The 20,648-nt window shown below is 43.0% G+C and overlaps 1 non-coding gene across 1 annotated transcript, besides 3 other annotated features; it reads left to right on the top strand.

Annotated features, from left to right (window-relative positions):
* Nucleotides 485–779: an enhancer, noted in NCBI's record as "tiled region #2602; HepG2 Activating DNase matched - State 5:Enh". NCBI's record gives its function as "activates a minimal TATA promoter and a strong SV40 promoter by Sharpr-MPRA in HepG2 cells {active_cell/tissue: HepG2}" and the evidence as "EXISTENCE:reporter gene assay evidence [ECO:0000049][PMID:27701403]".
* Nucleotides 18,502–18,711: a silencer, noted in NCBI's record as "silent region_13220". NCBI's record gives its function as "represses an Ori minimal core promoter by ATAC-STARR-seq in GM12878 lymphoblastoid cells {active_cell/tissue: GM12878}" and the evidence as "EXISTENCE:reporter gene assay evidence [ECO:0000049][PMID:35858748]".
* Nucleotides 18,591–18,661, top strand: TRG-GCC1-5 (tRNA-Gly (anticodon GCC) 1-5). The gene has a single exon. It is a non-coding gene; the product is annotated as a tRNA-Gly (tRNA).
* Nucleotides 18,752–18,821: an enhancer, noted in NCBI's record as "active region_18293". NCBI's record gives its function as "activates an Ori minimal core promoter by ATAC-STARR-seq in GM12878 lymphoblastoid cells {active_cell/tissue: GM12878}" and the evidence as "EXISTENCE:reporter gene assay evidence [ECO:0000049][PMID:35858748]".

The following is a 20,648-nucleotide window of genomic DNA, read 5'->3' as shown; positions in this document are numbered from 1 at the left end:
GTGGCGCGATCTCAGCTCACTGCAACCTCCGCCTCCCAGGTTCAAGCGATTCTCCTGCCTCAACCTCCTGAGTAGCTGGGATTACAGGCGTGCGCCCCCACGCCCGGCTAATTTTTGTATTTTTAGTAGAGATGACGTTTCACCATGTTGGTCAGGCTGGTCTCGAACTCCTGACCTCGTGATCTGCCCGCCTTGGCCTCCCAAAGTGCTCTGATTACAGGTGTCAGCCACCGTGCCCAGCCAGAAGATGTTTTTTAGCATAGCACAGGTTCTGCCATTCATGTTACTCAGGAGCAGTCTAGATCCTAAAGCGAGGGCCTGCAATTAAAGACTGAGTAAAAACTGGCAGAGCAATTTGCTGCATGGAACACTGCTGAGAGTGGCATCTTCTGCTTGCTTCTTACAGATAATAGCAGTATTAGTACTTTGCTTAGCTTATAATAAGCATTCAATCACTGTTAACTAGGCATTTTATATGCATTATATCATCTGCCATTACCACCATCCTATGAGGTAGGGCTATGAAAATCCCATTTGCTAAATACACAAACCTTTGTCACTGCTAATATACCTAGTGAATGGCAAAGCTGGAATTTGAACCCTGGCCGTCTGACTTCATAGATCGGACAAAGGACATGTTTTCTTCTACATTAGACATTGGCCCCAAAACGGCACACCTCTGCATGTTCAATAGCAGTGGCAGCATTTTCAGCAAACACTGGCATCACAGCTTCTGCTTTGCAGATTGGAAGTGATCTGAGTCATATCTAATAACAAGAACTAGACCCAGTTGCTCATGAAAAATAGGCTCTAGTCCCTCCTAGAACAATTCTGGAAGGCTATGGGAAAACCGGAGTTCCCAGAGGATAGAAGGAACAGATCTGGGGTTATATAAATTTGTGGCTGTGTTTGTCCATAGTTTTGCCCAAGGCCTGGCTTTCCTAAGTGTGCATATGTACACATGTACAGCTCCTGATGCATGTGAAAACCAAGACACATAGACCATACGTGACTACAAGGGTGTTGACTCTCAACACTTTCTCAGTCAGGTATTGGAAAAACTTGTAGCTGAAATAAGATAAACAGCTCTGTACTTGTTCTCTTTATTGTCCTGGCTCTGATTCACCTGCTGATCCTTTGGAACTCTCACACCAGTTTTTATCCCAGGCTGAGCCATATAGCTTCAAGCCAGGTTGGTAATTTCCTGATATGGGAGTAAATATAGAAACTTTATAGAATTCTCAGTTTCTGTCTACAGCTGTTCAAGTTTCAGTGAAACACTCACTATATCATGCCTAATTATCCAGATATATCTGTGTCTATTTGCTACAGTTCACTCTCTCTGCTTGGCAGGATTCTTCTTTTGCACTCAACAAAATGTCTTTTCCTTTTCGGTGATAGAGAATTTTTACTTTTGATTTTTTTTTATGTCTTGCTTTTGAAAGAATGTTCCAGGGCTGAGTGCTTTATGAGGACTCTTTCCCACTATGTAAAAGCAGTTTACTTCAAGGTTCTTTGGGGAATTATTCAGTGTCAGTACCTTACGTCTATACCAGCCCCATTATTTATAATTATTACATAGCCTGATGGAAGAAATACATTTGCATGCCAACAGAAAATTGTTAACAGTGAGGATTTGGAGTTTGATTGGTTTAGGTTCTAATCCAAAACCCTGTTCTTCCAAACCTTGGACAAACTAACTTCTCTAATACTCAATCTTCTTCACTTTAAAGTGACGATTAAATGACAAACCGCAACAATTCCAAAAAGATCCTCCCCTTTCTTTTATGTGTTGGAAACACTTACAAGGAGACTGTTCTATATTTTACTTATGTATTAAGATCTTTTCTTGGCTGGGCGTGGTGGCTCACACCTGTAGTCCCAGCACTTTGGGAGGCCAAGGTGGGCGGATCACTTGAGGTCAGGAGCTCGAGACCAGCCTGGCCAACATGGAGAAACCCCGTCTCTACTGAAAGTACAAAAATTAGACAGGTGTGGTGGCACATGCCTGTAATCCCAACTACTCAGGAGGCTGAGGCAGGAGAATCGCTTGAACCTGGGGTGGGGCAGAGGTTGCAGTGAGCCAATATTGTGCCACTGCACTCCAGCCTGGGTGACAGAACGAGACTCTGTCTCAAAAACAACAACAACAACAACAACAACAAAACTTTTCTCTTTGGGGAAAGTAGTGTTGGGAAATAAAATTTTTGAGGCTGTTAGAAAACTTTAGCTTCCCTGAAATTTACAAATCTTTGTGTTCTTTGAGTACCAATTGCTTCTGACAAAATTTTTAAAATCTAAATTTACTCAGAGATTTTACTATCAGGTAATTTTCAGTCTGGCAATGATTTTCTCAAAACCTAGACTTCTTGAATATTTTGGTATTTAAAAAACTACATGAGAATATGAGGGTTTTTTTTTTTTTTTGATGGTTCCTTGCTCTGTCGCCCAGGATGGAGTGCAGTGGCACGATCTCAGCTCACTGCAACCGCTGCCTCCCGGATTCAAGCGATTTTCCTGCCTCAGCCTCCTGAGTAGCTGGAATTATAGGCACCCGCCACCAAGCCTGGCTAATTTTTGTATTTTTAGTAGAAACAGGGTTTCACCATGTTGACCAGGCTGGTCTCGAACTCCTAACCTCAGGTGATCCGCCCGCCTCGGCCTCCAAAGGTGCTGGGATTACAGCTGTGAGCCACCGTGCTGAGCCTGAGATACTTATTTAAAAGACGAGATGGGCCGGGCGAGGTGGCTGATGCCTGCAATCCCAGCACTTTGGGAGGCCGAGGTGAGCGGATCACCTGAGGTCGGAGTTTGAGACCCGACCAACATGGAGAAACCCCGCCTCTACTAAAAATACAAAATTAGCCAGGTGTGGTGGCTCATGCCTGTAATCCCAGCTACTCGGGGGGCTGAGGCAGGAGAGTGACTTGGACCCGAGAGGCGGAGGTTGTAGTAAGCTGAGATCATGCCATTGCACTCCAGCCTGGGCAACAAGAGCAAAACTCTTGAACTCAAAGAAAAAAAAGACAAAAAAAAAAAAAAAAAAAACAACACAGAGATGGTGATTTAAGAACTAACAGCAGGTCGAGCGTGGTGGCTTACGCCTGTAATCCCAGCATTTTGGGAGGCCAAGGCAGTAGGATCACTTGAGCTCAGGAGTTTGAGGTCAGCCTGGGCAACAAAGTGAAATGCCATCTCTACTAAAAATCAAAAAAAGTACCTGGACGTGGTGGCACGTGCCTGTATTCTCAGCTACTCAGGAGGCTGAGGCAGGAGGGTCGCTTGAGCCCAGGAGTTAGAGGCTGCAGTGAGCTATGATCATGCCACTGTACCCCAGCCTGGACAACAGAGCAAGACCCTATCTAAAAAAAGAAAAAAAAAAGAAAGAAGAAAAAGAAAAAGAAAGAAAGAAAAAGAAAAGAACTAATAGCAGATATATTTTTGTTGTGGTAATATATACATAACAAAATTTAGGTAGGGCAGCATAGTGAGACCCTATTTCTACAAACAAACACTAAAACAAAGAAACCCAGCCAGGTGTGATGGTACACTCCTTAGTCCCAGCTACTTGGGAGGCTGCGATAGGAGGATCACTTGAGCCCAGGAAGTTGAGGCTGCAGTGAGCTATGATTGAACCACTGTACTCTAGCCTGGGTGACAGAATGCAACTCTACCTCTAAAAAGAAACACACACACACACACACACACACATAAAATCTACCATATACCATTTTAACCATTTTAAAATCTACAGTTCAGTGGCAAGTGGCATTAAGTATATTTACATTGTTATGCAACCATCACCACCATCTATCCTCAGAACTTATTTTATCCTCTCAAACTGAAATTCCACACCCATTAAACAATAACTCCTCGTGCCTCCCTTCTCCCAGCCCCTGGCAACTGTTTGATTTTCTAATGGCAGATAATTTTAAAGACAAAGCAGCGTGGCGCGGCTGCACGCCTGTAATCCCAGCACTTTGGGAGGCGAGGCGGTCAGATCACGAGGTCAGGAGATCGAGACCATCCTAGCTAACACGATGAAACCCCGTCTCTACTAAAAATACAAAAAATTAGCCGGGCGTGGTGGTGGGCACCTGTAGTCCCAGCTACTCGGGAGGCTGAGGCAGGAGAATGGCGTGAACCCGGGAGGCGGAGCTTGCAGTGAGCCGAGATCGCGCCACTGCACTCCAGCCTGAGAGCAGAGCCAGCTCCGTCTCAAAAAAAAAAAAAAAAAAAAAAGACAAAGCAAACAGGATGATGCTTCCATAGCTGGTAGCAAGCTTTGTATTTCTGCCCCAGGTCTGTGTCATTTCTAAACTATCCCACTGAGATATTAATTCAGCTTCTTCAGAAGGATATTACAGAGGAATGCCCAGTTTGACCGGATCACCTGGGACCAGCCAGTGCTGGGCAGTCCCCAGTCCCTTGGTAGGTGCTGTCAGGGGCTGGGCCACCTGGCTGCAACCCCACCAACTTCTGCTGCTTTTGAGAAATCAGTCCTGGACAAGTGCAGGGGCTCACACCTGTAATCCCCATGGCCTGAGGCCAAGAGTTCATTACTGGCCTGGGCAACATAGCAAGACCCTGTTTCTACAGAAAATTTAAAAATTAGCCAGGCAGGCCAGCCATGGTGGCTCACATCTGTAATCTCCACACTTTGGCAGGCCAAGGTGGGAGGATCATTTGAGCCCAGGAGTTTGAGACCATCCTGGGCAACATGGTGAAACACAATCTCTACAAAAAATACAAAAATTAGCTGGGCATGGTGGCATACATCTGTAGTCTCAGCTACTTGGGAGGCTGAGGTGGGAGGATCACTTGAGCCCGGGAGGGCAAGGCTGCAGCGAACTGTGATGGAGCCACTACACTCCAGCCTGGGTGACAGAAAGAAACCCTGTCTAATACAAAACAAAACAAAAAAATTGGCATGGTGGTGTGCACCTGTAGCCCCAGCTACTGGGGCGGCTGAGGTGGGAGGATAGCTTGAGCCTAGGAGTTTGAGGCTGCAGTGAGCTATGATCATTGCCTGGGGGGGCATAGTGAGACCCTGTCTCAAAAAAAAAAAAAAAAAAGAAAGTAAAGAAAAAGAAAAAGAAAGAGTAAATCAGTCTCAGCCTTGGTATCTTGTCAGCCTCTGACTCTTTCAAGCCTTGAATTTCAGGCGGAGGACTCCAGCGGGTTTAATACCCATCTGCCAATGTCAGCTCAGTTTCCATTCCACCAGGAATTTACTATTCAGCAACCCAACCCTGTTTTCTTCAGCCCAAACACTGACCTAGTAAAAGCGTACCAGACCTTGGGTGCATATCTGTAAAATGAAGAGGGTGAATTAGGTAATCTCAAAGGTATTTTGCAGCCCTGAAGTTGTTACTCTCTGTTTAAGAAAAACAAATAGTGGTCCTCATGTAAGAGGCTAGATAAGCTTTTTCTGTAAAAATTCCCTCTCTTACTAGTATTTGTCATGTTGTGATATAAATACAAATGCTGAAAGCGTTATGTTTGGTTTGAAAGTTCAACTAATGGTCAGCAAAGGGTTAATTGTAAGTCAACATAGGATTGGGAGTTTGGAAACAAAAGAATTTAGAAGAAAAGGTAATCCGTTAGTCAGTACAAAGAATTTCATATCCTGAATATAATCCTGAAAAAATTGAAGACCTAGGGGCCTTTGACAGACTATTTTTTTTCTTTGCATAAAACAGTTTTGACTTTCACTCTAATGCAGCCTTAGTCCGGTTGAAGGCAAGTAGCTTGCTATTTGATAGGGCTATTTGCATTTCAAAGCTAATCAGTATTAAATAATCCGCTGGCAAAAGAAGAGTAAGAAGGTCACTGTGTGTATTTTATTATTGTGTAAACTTGGGAAAACAAGCTGAGAGTCTGAGAAAGCTCAAATTCTAACAGATAAGAAAGTGTTTTATGTAAAAGGTCTCTTAATGAGTGAGTTAGTCTTTATTTCTCTGACTTACTTCCGCAGAGTCAGGAGGATCACATGACAGCTAGGCTTTATAAGGAAATAAAAACAACCCGTGAAGAGAAAAACCATTTATTTTCAATACTTAAGGTAAAAGAACTTCTTAAATATTTAGTTTTTATTCTTCTGTAACTTTTGAGAACATTTAATAGTTTTAATTAATTAACATTTAATATTAAATTATACTATTTCATTGGCCAATTCATATCAAACTTGATTATAACTCTAATTCAGTGGTTCTTAACCCTGGCACGTTAGAATCACCAAGAGAAAAGAAAAATATTGATGTTCGTTCCTACCCCAGAGAGTTGATGTAATTAATTTGGGGTGTGGTCTGGTCATCAGTAATTTCTAATAATTCCCAGGGAATTCTCCTGGGTTGAAAGTTGAGAACCATCCGGGTGCAGTGGCTCATGCCTGTAATCCCAGCACTTTGGGAGGCCGAGACAGGTGGATCATAAGATCAGGAGTTCGAGGCCAGCCTGGCCAAGATGGTAAAACCCCGTCTCTACTAAAAATACAAAAATTAGCCGGATGTAGTGGTGGGCGCCTGTAATCCCAGCTACTCGGGAGGCTGAGGCAGGAGAATCGCTTGAACTTGGGAGGCAGAGGTTGCAGTGAGCCGAGATTGTGCCACTGCACTCCAGCCTGGGTGACAGAGAGCAAGACTCCATCTCAAAACAAACAAACAAACAAAAAACAAAAAAAAAAAGAAAGGAAGAAAGTTGAGAACCATTATCCATTATTATAATTTATATGCTGAGTATATCCTCCTCTGCAAATAAGACCTCAATGACTCTCCCATTGTTTACAGTATGGTCTTAAATTTTAATTGCATACATCTATTGGTTAAAAAAAAAAAGAAAGAAAATTAGAGGTGCGGCGGCTCCCACCGGTATGATGTCAGCACTTCAAGAGGCCAAGACAGGAAGATTGCTTGAGCCTAGGAGTTTGAGTCTAGCCTGGGCAACACAGTGAGACCCTGTCTCTACAAACATTTTAAAAATTAGCCAGGCATGGTAGCCTGTGCCTGTGGTCCCAGCTACTTGGGATGCTGACATGGTAGGACTGCCTGAGCCCAGGAAGTCTCAACTTCCTGGTTTAGTCCTACCACTAAAGCCTCAGCTTTAGTGAGTCACCGCACTCCAGCCTGGATAACAGAGTGAGGCCCTGCCTCAACAACAAAAAGAAGAAAAAATTAGAGCACATACCAAAGTATATGTGTGTATGTATATGTGTGTATATATATATACACACATTATTATACACACATATATATTCAAATTATTTAGATGTGTTATTTTTACCAATATGTTATCTATATTACAAAACAGAAAAAAGACATTAATAAAACTATGAATAATTAATAAATAATTTCTTCCTATACCCCTTACCATCCTTTTAGCCACTTCACTTTGGAAACAACTGTTTCATAGGATAAAGAATAAATTCCAGGCTAGGCACAGTGGCTCATGCCTGTAATCTCAGCACTTTGGGAGGCCGAGGCGGGTGGATCACCTGAGGTCAGGAGTTTGAGACCAGCCTGGCCAACATAGTGAAACCCCGTCTCTACTAAAATACAAAAATTAGCTAAATGTGGTGGCGCATGCCTGTAATCCCAGCTACACGGGAGGCTGAGGCATGAGAATCACTTGGGCCTGGGATGTGGAGGTTGCAGTGAGCCAAGATCACGCCACTGCACTCCAGCCCAGGAAACAGAGTGAGACTCTGTCTCAAAAAATAAAATAAAATAAAACAAATAAATAAATAAATAAATTCCATATCATGGAGTTCAAGGTTTTTCTCTAGGCAAAATTTCATCTCTCTTTTATTGTTGTTTGTTTGTTTTTGAGATGGTGTCTCACTCTGTTGCCAGGCTGGAGTGCACTGGTGCAATCTTGGCTCACTGCAACCTCCACCTTCCGGATTCAAGTGATTCTCCTGCCTCAGCCTCCTGAGTAGCTGGGACTACGGTCGTGTGCCACCATGCTCAGCTTATTTTGTATTTTTAGTAGAGACAAGGTTTCACCATGTTGGCCAGAATGATCTTGATCACTTGACCTCGTAATCCGCCTGCCTCGGCCTCCCAAAATGCTGGGATTACAGGTGTGAGCCACCACGCCCGGCCTCTTTTATTGCTATATATCCTACTGTTTTAGATTATCGTTACTTTTTTTGTTGCTGATTTTTTTTTTTTTTCAGACGGAGTCTCGCTCTGTTGCACAGGCTGGAAGGCAGTGGCGCGATCTCAGCTCACTGCAACCTCCGCCTCCCAGGTTCAACGCGACTCTCCTGCCTCAGCCTCCTGAGTAGCTGGGATTACAGTGTGCGCCACCACGCCTGGCTAATTTTTGTATTTTTAGTAGAGACGAAGTTTCACCATGTTGGTCAGGCTGGTCTTGAGCTCCTGACCTCGTGATCCACCCACTTTGGCCTCCCAAAGTGCTGGGATTAAAGGCATAAGCCACCACGCCCGGCCTGTTGCTGATGTTATAAAATCATCACTATATATTTTACTATTTTATGTCCAGTTTCTCAGGGAGTCTGAGATGAGAACTTGCAGGTAGAAAGTTTATCGAGGAGTGAAGGACATAGGATTGGAGCACTTGCAACAAAGCCCTTAGCCAAATCTCATTCTGAAGAGGGGCTCTGGGATGCTCCCCGTGCATCCTTGCATTCCACTGCGTTCCTTGCATTCGAGGGCTTAGCACAGACTGTTCCTCACTCTGGAATATTTTACCCTCAAATTTCACAGGCTGGGCTTCTGGTCTGGAAAAGCTCTCTCAAAGGATGGATAGAATTTAGATAGACGGTAAACTCCCTGATTAGCAGTGAGCTGATCTGTTATACTTTTCTATCTCTCACACTGCTTAATACATACTAGGCCCTCAGTTCTAAAAATATATATGTTTATATTATTATATATTAATTACATATATATGTGTAATTTCAATTAACATGCTGAGTGAGGCCAGGCACGGTGGCTCATGCCTGTAATCCCAGCACTTTGGGAGGCTGAGGTGGGCGGATCACCTGAGGTCAGGAGTTTGAGACCAGCCTTGCCAACATGGTGAAATCCCCGTCTCTACTAAAAATACAAAAATTAGCTGGGTATGGTGGTGGGCGCCTATAATCCCAGCTACTTGGGAGGCTGAGGCACGAGAATCGCTTGAGCCCCGGAGGTGGAGTTTGCAATGAGCCAAGATTTTGCCACTGCACTCCAGCCTGGGTGACAGAGCAAGACTCTGTCTCAAAAAAAAAAAAACAAAACAAAAACAAAAAAAGCATGCTGAGTGTATAAATTGAATAGCTAGAGAAGACTGGACAAAGATTTCAGGCTGGTAGCAGAGCTGGAGGGAAACAGAGGTGACCGAACTCAAGACATGCCGGGGGGTCAGAGAGAAAGTGCATTTGGTGGGAAAGGAGTGCTCTTTTGCAGGAACAAAATGGCCAAGAGGATCAGCAACAGAAGGTAGGGTTGGAGATTTTTGTAGACCTTAAATAATATATTTTATGTTGTTCATTGTATGAAATGAAGAACACATAAAATCTTGCTAAGGAAACACACGTCTGAGCATTGTTATTTCCAGTCCCAGGACTTACATGGTTAAGTCTGAATTCCTCAACCAGACTTCCATTCTTAAATGTTTCAAGTCTCTTTTCATCCCTTAATCTTCTTGTTTTCCCATTCCTCTGACATCCCCACGTGGTCACTACACACCCTAGCAAATCCCCCAGTTGGAATTAATCTTCCCATATTCTCAAGGCAGTCTGTTTCACCCATGGCTATAGACCTTGTTAGCTTGCCAGTTGACTGAGTTCTTTGAGTAGATGTCATCGCAGGCACCAGATTGCATGCATACAGAGAGCGTGGGCAGTGTCTTACTCATCTTTGTCCACGCTCCTTCCAGCACTCAGTAGAGAGTGGTATTCAGGGAAGGTCATTTGAAATAGTGATTTCTTATTATAAACCAGTGAAAAGGCTGAATGTTGTTTCCTCTTTTAAACTGACATTGATACACATTACAAGTAGGCCAACATAAAAAAACTGCTTAATGGATAGTAAAAGGCACAGTTATATAAATTCCTCTGCTTGAAGAATTATTTCTACCTGAATCACAAGGTGTTTTCCATCCAACTAACAAAAGTAGTTGCGTTAAGTCTTCGAAATGTTTGACGGGGTGAAAAAAATTATGAGAAAGGTCAGTTACTATTAGGAAAAAAAGTTTTTCTACTGAGAGGAGAACCTGTCATGACTAGATTTTATGACCTTCCTGGCTGGGTTCTGTTAAAGAAACACAAATTTTCTCTTGTCATAGTTTGATTTTTTTTTTTTTTTTTTTTTGAGACAGAGTCTCGCTTTGTCACCCAGGCTGGAATGCAGTGGCGTGTTCTCAGCTCACTGCAAGCTCCATCTCCTGGGTTCACGCCATTCTCCTGCCTCAGTCTCCTGAGTAGCTGGGACTACAGGCACCCGCCACCACGCCCGGCTAATTTTTTGTACTTTTAGTAGAGACGGGGTTTCACTGTGTTAGCCAGGATGGTCTTGATCTTCTGACCTCGTGATCCACCCGCCTCCACGTCCCAAAGTGCTGGGACTACAGGCGTGAGCCACCGCGCCCGGCCAGTTTGATTTTTTTTTTTTAAGTGAAGGAACGGTCAGGGTAATTATACTTGACATTTTGTGGATTACAAAGATCATGTTGTCAGCTGTGTTGGGTGCAGGGCTGGACTTTATTCCTTTAGCTGATAAGCATTATCAACATTTACAAGACAGAAACCTTATATGAAAGTCATTATTTGTATTTCCTGGTTCATAGTTGGTTTCGAATCTCTGCCTGTACCGTGCTTATGTTTGATTACTAAGTGTGCTTTCATATCAGGGACAGAGAGAGTCTCCGGACATGGAGGAAGCCACTAGACAAGGCCAATAAAAACATAAACCTGGGCTATTTTTAATGAATAACCAGTAGGTATGAATGAGTAACAAATGAGCAGTAATCTGGCTGGGCGCGGTGGCTCATGTTTGTAATTCCAGCACTTTGGGAGGCTGAGGCTAGCAGATCACTCGAGTCAGGAGTTCAAGACCAGCCTGGCCAACATGGTGAAACCCTCTCTAGTAAAAATACAAAAAAAATTAGCTGGACATGGTGGCGTGTGCCTGCAGTCACAGCTACTTGGGAGGCTGAGGCAGGATAATTGATTGAACCTGGAAGGCGGAGGTTGCAGTGAACCGAGATCATGCCACTGCACTCTAGCCTGGGTGACAGAGCGAGACTCCATCTCAAAACAAAGAAACACACAAACAAACAAACAAACAAATAAACATACAGTAATCTACTTGAAAATGGAAAAATGTTTCTTAATCCCCCCTGGAGGGCTATAGATAGGTGACTATGTCATACATACCATTGTATGTCCCTCAGTCAATATACCCCGGAAGGGAATGCCCCCGCTAGAGCTCAACTCCAGAGACTATACTGAGAATGGTGCCCTTACAAGTTGGAGAACATGGCAGCCCTAGAAGGCATTCAATAATACTTTCTTTTTTTTATTTTTGAGATAGGATCTTGCTCTGTCACCTAGGCTGGAGTACAGTGACACGATCATGGCTTACTGTAGCCTTGACATTCCGGGCCCAAGTGATCCTCCTACCTCAGCATAAGTTTTTTTTTTTTTTTTTTTTTTTTTTCAATTTGTAGAGACAGAGTCTCCCTGTGTTGCCCAGGCTGGTCTCAAACTCCTACGCTTGAGCAATCTTCCCCCTTGGCCTCCCAAAGTGCTGGGATTACAAGCATGAGTCACCACGCCAGCCAATAATGATTTCTTGATTGAAGGAATGAATGAATTAAAAGGTTCATCTTTGGACACAAAGGCAGACAAAAGTTTGACAAAAGGCATTTTTGAAACTAGGACCTTTATTATAATATTAGTCTAAACAGTGGGACCCATGAATAAGCATGGCAATGCTATATTCACCATAGCAGACATCCTTGAAAATGTGCCTCCCCAGATAGATCAGCTAAGAAAGAATAATTCTACATACAATCACTTGCAGATATGTTTCCTGATAGAAATACCAGGGACAAAGCTAACATCAATGTCAAGTCCAGAAAATGATTTTTGAATGTTGGTAGTTTCCCTCTTCACATTCTGCTCTCTTCACTCTCCTATCCCTGAAGCACAGATGCTGTCCTTTAGTTTGAGTAAGTAAGAAGTGCCAGTGAGTCATATTAGCTATTTTTAATGCACAGACATGTGAGGGATCTGTTTGATGGAGGACTTGCTTGCCAGCAATCGAGTTCGAGAAAGTCCAGGGCTTCAAGCCAGATTCTGGAGTGAGGCAGAAATGGGGACTAGACAGAAAAGATTGTAGGCTTTTCAGGCTAGAACGGAGAAAGTGCAGATGCAAAACTAGGGTTTAATTTGAGGAATCATTTAGAGTAGGTGTTGATTTAGGAAGATCTAAAAGACGTAGAATTAATGGAAAGGTTAATGATGGGCCTCTTGAAGTGAGCGAATGATGACAGATTATGGGATACACTTAGCTCCTAATTATTATGTATTTTAATACCTAGGTGCTAAAAAGTGGTAGCTAAAAATAAATAGTCATATATTTTTAAATAGTAGATTTCTTCCCTTCCCTAAATTTCTAACCTTGTTTCATGAACACAAACCTAATTTTAAAGGTAAAGGAAACTCATGCCAAGCAGCAAACAAAGAGACTGTATTAATTCTTCAGTTCACAAGTAGGGAAGTATTGATTGAGATTAGAGAATTATTTGTTTGCTTATTTATGGTATTAATTTATATATTTGGTTTCTTGCCTTACAGATAATTTAGGCAGAAATGACAGCTACCTGCCTTAAGACAACAAACCTACAATCTATAACATTCTCCCACCCAGCAATCTCACATATCTGGAACCCAGATGGGAAACTAGAATAACCCTCCAAATCTTTACCCATATAAATAGGTGTTATAAGATTCATGCGTTAAGTCAGTCAGTACTTTTCAACCACAATAAACCACTCAAGCCCTCACTCATTATTTGTTTACTTTAATTTTAGACATAATGATAATAAGCTTGGTTATCAGGGTTTATTTAGCCCACAGGAGACCACAGGAGCATGTGGCTGCACATTTCCTTTGGAATGAACAATTATAAAAGGGTTTTCACATCCATCATTAGCTGCTCAAGGCAGACACAGCAATAGCATCAAGAAGTGTCAGTTGAGTGCCTGACAGCCCCAAGAAAACAGAATAATTCTAAACAGTAGGCAGATAAACCACAAAAATAGACTAGTCTGTAGCCACGGTTAGGAAGAAAGAGAAAGACATATGTCACCATTCTCAGATGGCATCTCTTTCCAGACTCAGAACCCCACGTGCATAGAGAGGTTGTCCAGTCCAGGCCCCTGGTTAGCATACAATTCACATCAACAGTTCTCTTTTTGGGTGGTCAGACAGTTCTGCTGATGTGTTGGCAAGGAATCTGTGATGATTAATTTTATGTGTGATAAATTTTCTTTTTTCTTTTTTTTTTTTACCAGCACTCCTGATTTGGAATGGATTTTTTTTTTTTTTTTTGAGACAGGCTCTCACTCAATCATCCAGGCTGGAGTGCAGTAGCACAATCACAGCACCCTGTAGCCTCAATCTCCCAGGCTCAAGCAATCCTTCCATCTCAGCCTCCTTAATAGCAGGGACTACAGGTGTGCGCCACCATGCCCTGCTAATTTTTTATCTCTTTGTAGAAACGGAGTTTCTCCATGTTGTCCAAGCTGGTCTTGAACTCCTGGGCTCAAGCAATCTACCCGCCTCAGCCTCCCAAAATGCTGGGATTACAGGCGTGAGCTACTGCACTGGGCTAATTTTATTTTCTTTAACTTGGCTGGGTCGTAGTACCCAGATATATGATCAAACATTATTCTGGATGTTTCTGAGAGCGTGTTTTTGGATGAAATTGACATTCAAGTTGGTGGACTTTGAATAAGACAGGTTACCATTACTTTTTTCATTTTTAAGACAGGATGATATGGTTTGGCTTTGTGTCCCCACTCAAATCTCATCTCTAACTGTAATCCCCACATGTTGAGGGTGGGACCTGGTGGGAGGTGATTGGATCATGGGGGTGGTTTCCCCCATGCTGTTCTTGTGATAGTGAGTTCTCATGAGATCTGATCGTTTAAAAGTGTAGCATTTCTCATCCTCTGTCTCTCCTGCCACCTCATGAGGAAGGTGCTTGCTTCTCCTTCACCTTCTACCATGATTGAAAGTTTCCTGAGATCTCCGCAGCCATGCAGAACTGTAAGTCAATTAAACCTATTTTCTTTATAAAGTATGCAGTCCCAGGTAGTTCTTTCCCCACCCCCCACCTCCACCCTCTGAGACAGATTCTTGCTTTGTCGCCCAAGCTGGAGTGCAGTGGCAGATCTCGTCTCACTGCAACCCCCACCTCCTGAGTTCAAGCAATTCTCTTCCCTCAGCCTCCTGAGTACATGGGATTACAGGAGCGTGCCACTACAACTGGCTAATTCTGTGTTTGTATTTTATTTTATTTAATTTACTTATATATTTTTTGAGATGGAGTCTCGCTCTGTCGCCCAGACTGGAGGGCAGTGGCACAATCTCAGCTCACTGCAGCCTCGACCTCCTGGGATCAAACGATCCTCCCACCTCAGCCTTGTGAATAGCTGGGACCACAAGGCATGCGCCTCCATGCCCAGCTAATTTTTGTATTTTTTGTAGAATTGGGATTTTGCCACGTTGCCCAGGCTGGTCTCAAACTCCTGAGCTCAAGGGATCCACGTGCCTTGGCCTCCCAAAGTGCTGGAATTACAGGTGTGAGCCATCACGCCTGGCCCAGATTACTCTTCCTAATGTGGGTAAGTCTCATCCAATCAGTTGATGGCTTGAATAGAATGAAAGACTGAGCTACCTGCCGCGAAAGGGAATCTGTAGCAGATGACCTTCGGACTTGGACTGCAGCATCAACTCTTTCCTGGGTCTTCAGCCAGCTGGTCTACCCTGCAGATTTTGGACTTGCCAACCCCCATAATTGTGTAAGACAATTTCTTTATAAACAAGTTTCCTTGTGTGTATATACATCCTATTGATTCTGTTTCTCTGGAGAAACCTGCCTAATACAAAATCCCTTTCCAAATTAGGGCATGATACATTGCATAGCCCCGGATGTGACAGTAAATAAAAATTCATAATGAAAAATGTTCTTTGTAGCATTATTTATAACAACAAATTGAAATTAGCCTATATGCACATCAATAATGAATTGAATAAATGAATTATAAAACTACTTTCACGCCATAGAAAGCAATCGAGATACAACTGTATAAAATGGTGGTGGTGATGTAAAAGTATGACCAAGGTAGATTGTTAGAGAAAAAATGCAATTTGCCTTGAAGTACACATAATTGGATCCCACTTATGTAGAAATTTATATAGTTGGAAAATAGTATAATAAAAATAGGTAACACTTACTGAGGGCTTCCTATATGCATTCACTTCATTCATTCAATTCGACAAATATTTATTGCATGCTGTGCTGGGTGACAGGCTCTCAGCAGTAAATTAGACCAGTGGTTTTCAACCTGGGTGATTTTGCCCCCCAGAGGACATTTGGCCATGTCTATAAATAGTTTTTGTTGCAGGTAGAAGTGGGTAGAAGCCAGAGATGCTGCTACACAACCCACAGTGTGCAGGACACCAGCCCCTCTTTCCACTACCGGAAATTATTCAGCCTAAAATATCAGTAGTACAGAGGTTGAAAACCCCTAAATCAAACAAAATCCCTGCCTTTATGGAGTTGGCGGTAATTAATTTAATTCTCATGTTGCCTCTATTGGGTAGGTACTATTATGATCCTCATTTTATAGATGTGGAACACATAGCAACAAAAAGGTCAAGTAAAGGCACAGGCCAGGGGCCGGGTGTGGTGGCTCACACCTGTAATCCCAGCACTTTGGGAGGTGGAGGCTGGTGAATCACTTGAGGTCAGGAGTTCGAGACCACCCCGGCCAACATGGCGAAACCCTGTCTCTACTAAAAATACAAAAATTATCCTGGCATGGTGGCACGTGCCTGTAATCCCAGCTACTTGAACCCCGGAGGCTGAGGTTGCTGTGAGCCGAGATTGTGCCACTGCACTCCAGCCTGGGTGACAGAGTGAGACTCCATCTCAAAAAAAAAAAAACCAAAAAACAAAAAACCAGGCACAGTGACTCACGCCTGTAATCCCAGCACTTTGGGAGGCCAAGGCGGGTGGATTACCTGAAAGGCCAGGAGTTTGAGACCAGCCTGACCAACATGCGGAACCCCGTCTCAACTAAAAAAAATTAGCCAGGCATGGTGGTGGGCGCCTGTAATCCCGGCTACTCAGGAGGCTGAAGCAGGAGAATTGCTTGAACCCAGGAGGCGGAGGCTGCAGTGAGCCGAGATGGCACCACTGCACTCCAGCCTGGGCAAGGGCGAAACTCTGTCTCAAAAAAAAAAAGACACGGGCTAAACGACTCACAGGTACCTCTGTAAATTGGGGTTAGGGTGAACTTTCACTTTTACATAATATATTTTGATATATTTAAAATTTTAATAAACTTATTTTACTTTTATAATAATTAGCTTTGTAATTAAAATGTGAGTTAAAAATATTTTAAAATGATTTATCACTTCCAGTTACTTGTTTAAAACAATCCTACCTTTCCAGGCCCTCCATGATCTAGTCCCATTTGCTTCTCCAACTCTCATTGCTCCTCGCCTCGTGCACTCTCCATTCCAGCTACCCTAGGTTAATGTCTTTTTTGAGTTTGGGACTTTTGTTCGCTCATTATTCCATTACCTGCGAAACCAAGTAAGATCTTGCACATAAATTATGAATCAAAATGAATTATAAAGAGGAGTTTCTTTCATATTGAATCAAAATCCGCTTTTCTTTTTTTTTTTGAGACGGAGTTTCGTTCTTGTTGCCCAGGCTGGAGTGCAATGGCGCGATCTCCGGCTCACCGCAACCTCCGCCTCCTGGGTTCAAGCGATTCTCCTGCCTCAGCCTCCCGAGTAGCTGGGATTACAGGCATGTGCCACCATACCCGACTAATTTTGTGTTTTTAGTAGAGACGGGGTTTCTCCATGTTGGTCAGGGTGGTCTCGAACTCCCAACCTCAGGTGATCCGCCAGCCTCGGCCTCCCAAAGTGTTGGGATTACAGGCGTGAGCGACTGCGTCCGGCCCAAAATCTGCTTTTCTGTAATGATTTTTACCAATTAGTCTTAGTATTCTATTAGATATTTACAGTTTTCTTTATTCCTCTCTCTCCCCACCCCTTCTCTCTTTCTTTTTTCTTTTTTTTGAGACAGAGTCTCGCTCTGTTGTCCAGGCTGGAGTGCAATGGCGCGATCTCGGCTCACTGCAGCCTCCGCCTCCCAGGTTCAAGCGATTCTCCTGCCTCAGCCTCCTGAATAGCTGGGACCACCGGCTTGCACCACCACGCCTGGCTAATTTTTGTAGTTTTAGTAGAGACCAGGTTGATATTTACAGGTTTCTATTCAAGGCATCGTCACAAGACAATACTACCAACATTTAAATATTTATATATAAGTTTTCTCTAAGTTAAGCTTCTCTAACGCTTTCAGACATTTTGCTGGCTGAACCTTGTTTCAATAGCGCTTACCATCCTAGCTTCTTTTCTTAGCTAGAATACTCCACTTTGCCAATATCCTTCCTGAAGTGTGGCATGCTGGAGAGTACACCAGAGTCCAGGGGTGAAACGAGTAGTTAGAAAGCAAACAGCCTCCTGTGCTTTGTTTTTTTCTGAACTTTGTGTATGTGGAGCTCTCATTGCACTCACTTCCTTGACGGTGTGTCCCACATCACTGAATCACAGTTCACTGCAATAATCAGCAATGGCTGTCACGGTGCTGAGTCCTCAGTAAGGTATTATTCAGCGCATTCTGCTTAAGATGGCAGGAAAGCATTTAATATAAATAGCATTTAATGCAATTTATATTTTTATATAAATGAATTCAATTTTTAAAAAAACTGGTGTTTATTCAAGAGGCACTCACACGGCTATCTGGAGCACTTTATTCTCAAAAAACCCCCCAATTCCCCCAAACAATCTGGAGAGGCAACATTTAATTGTATCATGAATCAATAAGTAGCAATACTTCAAGTGACCAACTTTTTTGTTGCTGTTGAGGCAGTGTCTCACTCTGTCACCTAGGCTGGATTGCAAGTGGCATGACCACAGCTCGCTGCAGCCTTGACCTCCCAGGCTCAAGCAATCCTCCCTCCTCAGGCTCCTGAGTAGCTGGGACTACAGGCACGTGCCACCATGCCCGGCTCATTTTCTTTTTTTTTAGTTTTTTTTTTTAGAGACAAGAGTCTCCCTGTGTTGCCCAGGCTGGTCTCGAACTCCTGGGCTCAAGCAATCCTCCCCACTCGGCCTCCCAAAGTGCTGAGATTACAGGCATGAGCCACCATGCCCAGCCAAGTGACCAAAATATTATCATCTTCCTTCTCCATTATCTAGTCTCTTGCAACAAAGAACACCTTCCAGTCGCGTTCCAATCATGTTACTGCTTTTCCCCAACTCTTCTATCGGTGCATGGGTGGTTCAGTGGTAGAATTCTCGCCTGCCACGCGGGAGGCCCGGGTTCGATTCCCGGCCCATGCAGCACGAAAATGTGTTTTGGACCGTGCGCGGGAGGTTGCGGTAAGCCGAGACTGCACCGTTGTATTCCAGCCACAGCAACAGTGAGAGAAACTTCGTCTCAAAAACAAACAAAAAAACTTTCGAGGGGTCCCAAATGCTTCTTAAATTGAATGATTTGTAGAACAGGCTTTGTGACCCAGTGACTAACTGACCATCCTTTATCACAAAAGACACTAGTTTTCCTCCCATATAGCATTTCCTCCACAGTCAGGAGAGAGACTTTCCCCCAAACATGTCTCAGCTCAGCCATCTGGAGTTTGCGCATGTGTTTGCCATGTTAATCCCTCCTTCGTAAGCGCTCTCTCTGGGGTTATGAATCTTCTCAAACGGTATGAGTTTGACAGCTAAAATGGACTGATTTAAATCACTGTTCGCACACTGAAAATACAGTGGAATCAAGGTTCAGAGAAGATGGCCTGAGGACCTTGCTTTACTAGGAAGCAAGTTCTGGAACGGACACTTGCTTTTGGAGCACCCTTTCCTATCTTCTATTTAATTACTTAATCCTTTATTATATTCTCCCTGTCCCCTATTGCCCCCACCCCTGCACTTTTTAACCTCTTCCTGTAAGACACTAAACATATAAAAGAATATAGGGGAAAACAGTAAAAATAACAGCTAACAATTGATAAGAGTGTTTCAGATAGATCCGGGCTCTTCACTTACTTTATCCCTAGTCTTCACAACGGTTCATATAAGGAAGAGGTGGACGCAATTTTTTTTTTTTTTTTTTTTTTTTTGAGACGAGGTCTCTCTCTGTCGCCCAGGCTGGAGTGCAGTGGCGCGATCTCGGCTCACTGCAAGCTCCGCCTCCCGGGTTCACACCATTCTCCTGCCTCAGCCTCCCGAGTAGCTGGGACTACAGGCGCCCGCCACCACGCCCAGCTGATTTTTTGTATTTTTAGTAGAAACGAGGTTTCACTGTGTTAGCCAGGATGGTCTCGATCTCCTGACCTTATGATCCGCCCACCTCGGCCTCCCAAAGTGCTGGGATTACAGGAGTGAGCCACCGCGCCCGGCCTGGATACACATACTTTAAAGACGTAAAATTGGCTGTTTAGTAATTATTCAGAGCCACACCAGTACTAAATTTATTAAAGAGGAAACAAAAAAAATTTGTAACTCATTATTAGATATCACTGTACCCGTGGGGAGAATGGAACAGGGACATTTGTGGATGGATATGTGCAAAAAAAAAAAAAAAAAAAAAAAAAAAAAAAAAAAAAATTCAAGAGCCATTGATGATTCTTTTAGCAAAAAAATGGAAGCATTATGAATTACGGTGCAAGGGTCAAGGAGTATTGGGAGCTAGTTTCCCTGACGAATGCTGAGTCCATTAGAAGTTGGAACCATTAGACTTTTGAAAACCTATAGAAAAGAGAGTGGATGGTAGCTAGGCAGCTAAAAAGTCTTTGATGCTTTATTTTTGTATGGGCTTACTATTACAATTATTGGGAAGTAATATTTGGGTGGGAATATTTCTATATCAAATAGTCTGTATTTGCATAGGCTGACATTTAGATTGAATCTACAGTAGGATTACTACACAGCTTTGAGATCTGGGTTTGTGAAGCACATGGTTCATAACATAAAAAAGAGTGATTTGAATGTCTCACAATTTTCATTATGACAACTTGGATGAACAACATCTACAGTAATTTCTAAGTCTCACACCATTCCAGCCACACCCAGTCTGGGCAACACAGTGAGACCCCATCTTCAAAAATACGTAAATAAATAAATAAAAGAAGAATAAAGAAAAGAAAAATGGAGATTTCTTTGTATATGTGTGTATAAAAATCAGGAAGCTAAGACAAAATATTCCGAAAGTATGAGTCACAAAATTATATTACTTGACATATGATCAGGGTCACAAACTGAGATAATTGTATTTTGAAAGATTAATGCTAAAAAAGTTGGGAAACTGTATACACGATTACAGCATGAA

This window comes from Homo sapiens, chromosome 21 (assembly GCF_000001405.40).
Source record: "Homo sapiens chromosome 21, GRCh38.p14 Primary Assembly".
NCBI classification, from domain to species: domain Eukaryota; kingdom Metazoa; phylum Chordata; class Mammalia; order Primates; family Hominidae; genus Homo; species Homo sapiens.
This window is presented reverse-complemented; position numbering and strand designations above follow the sequence as displayed.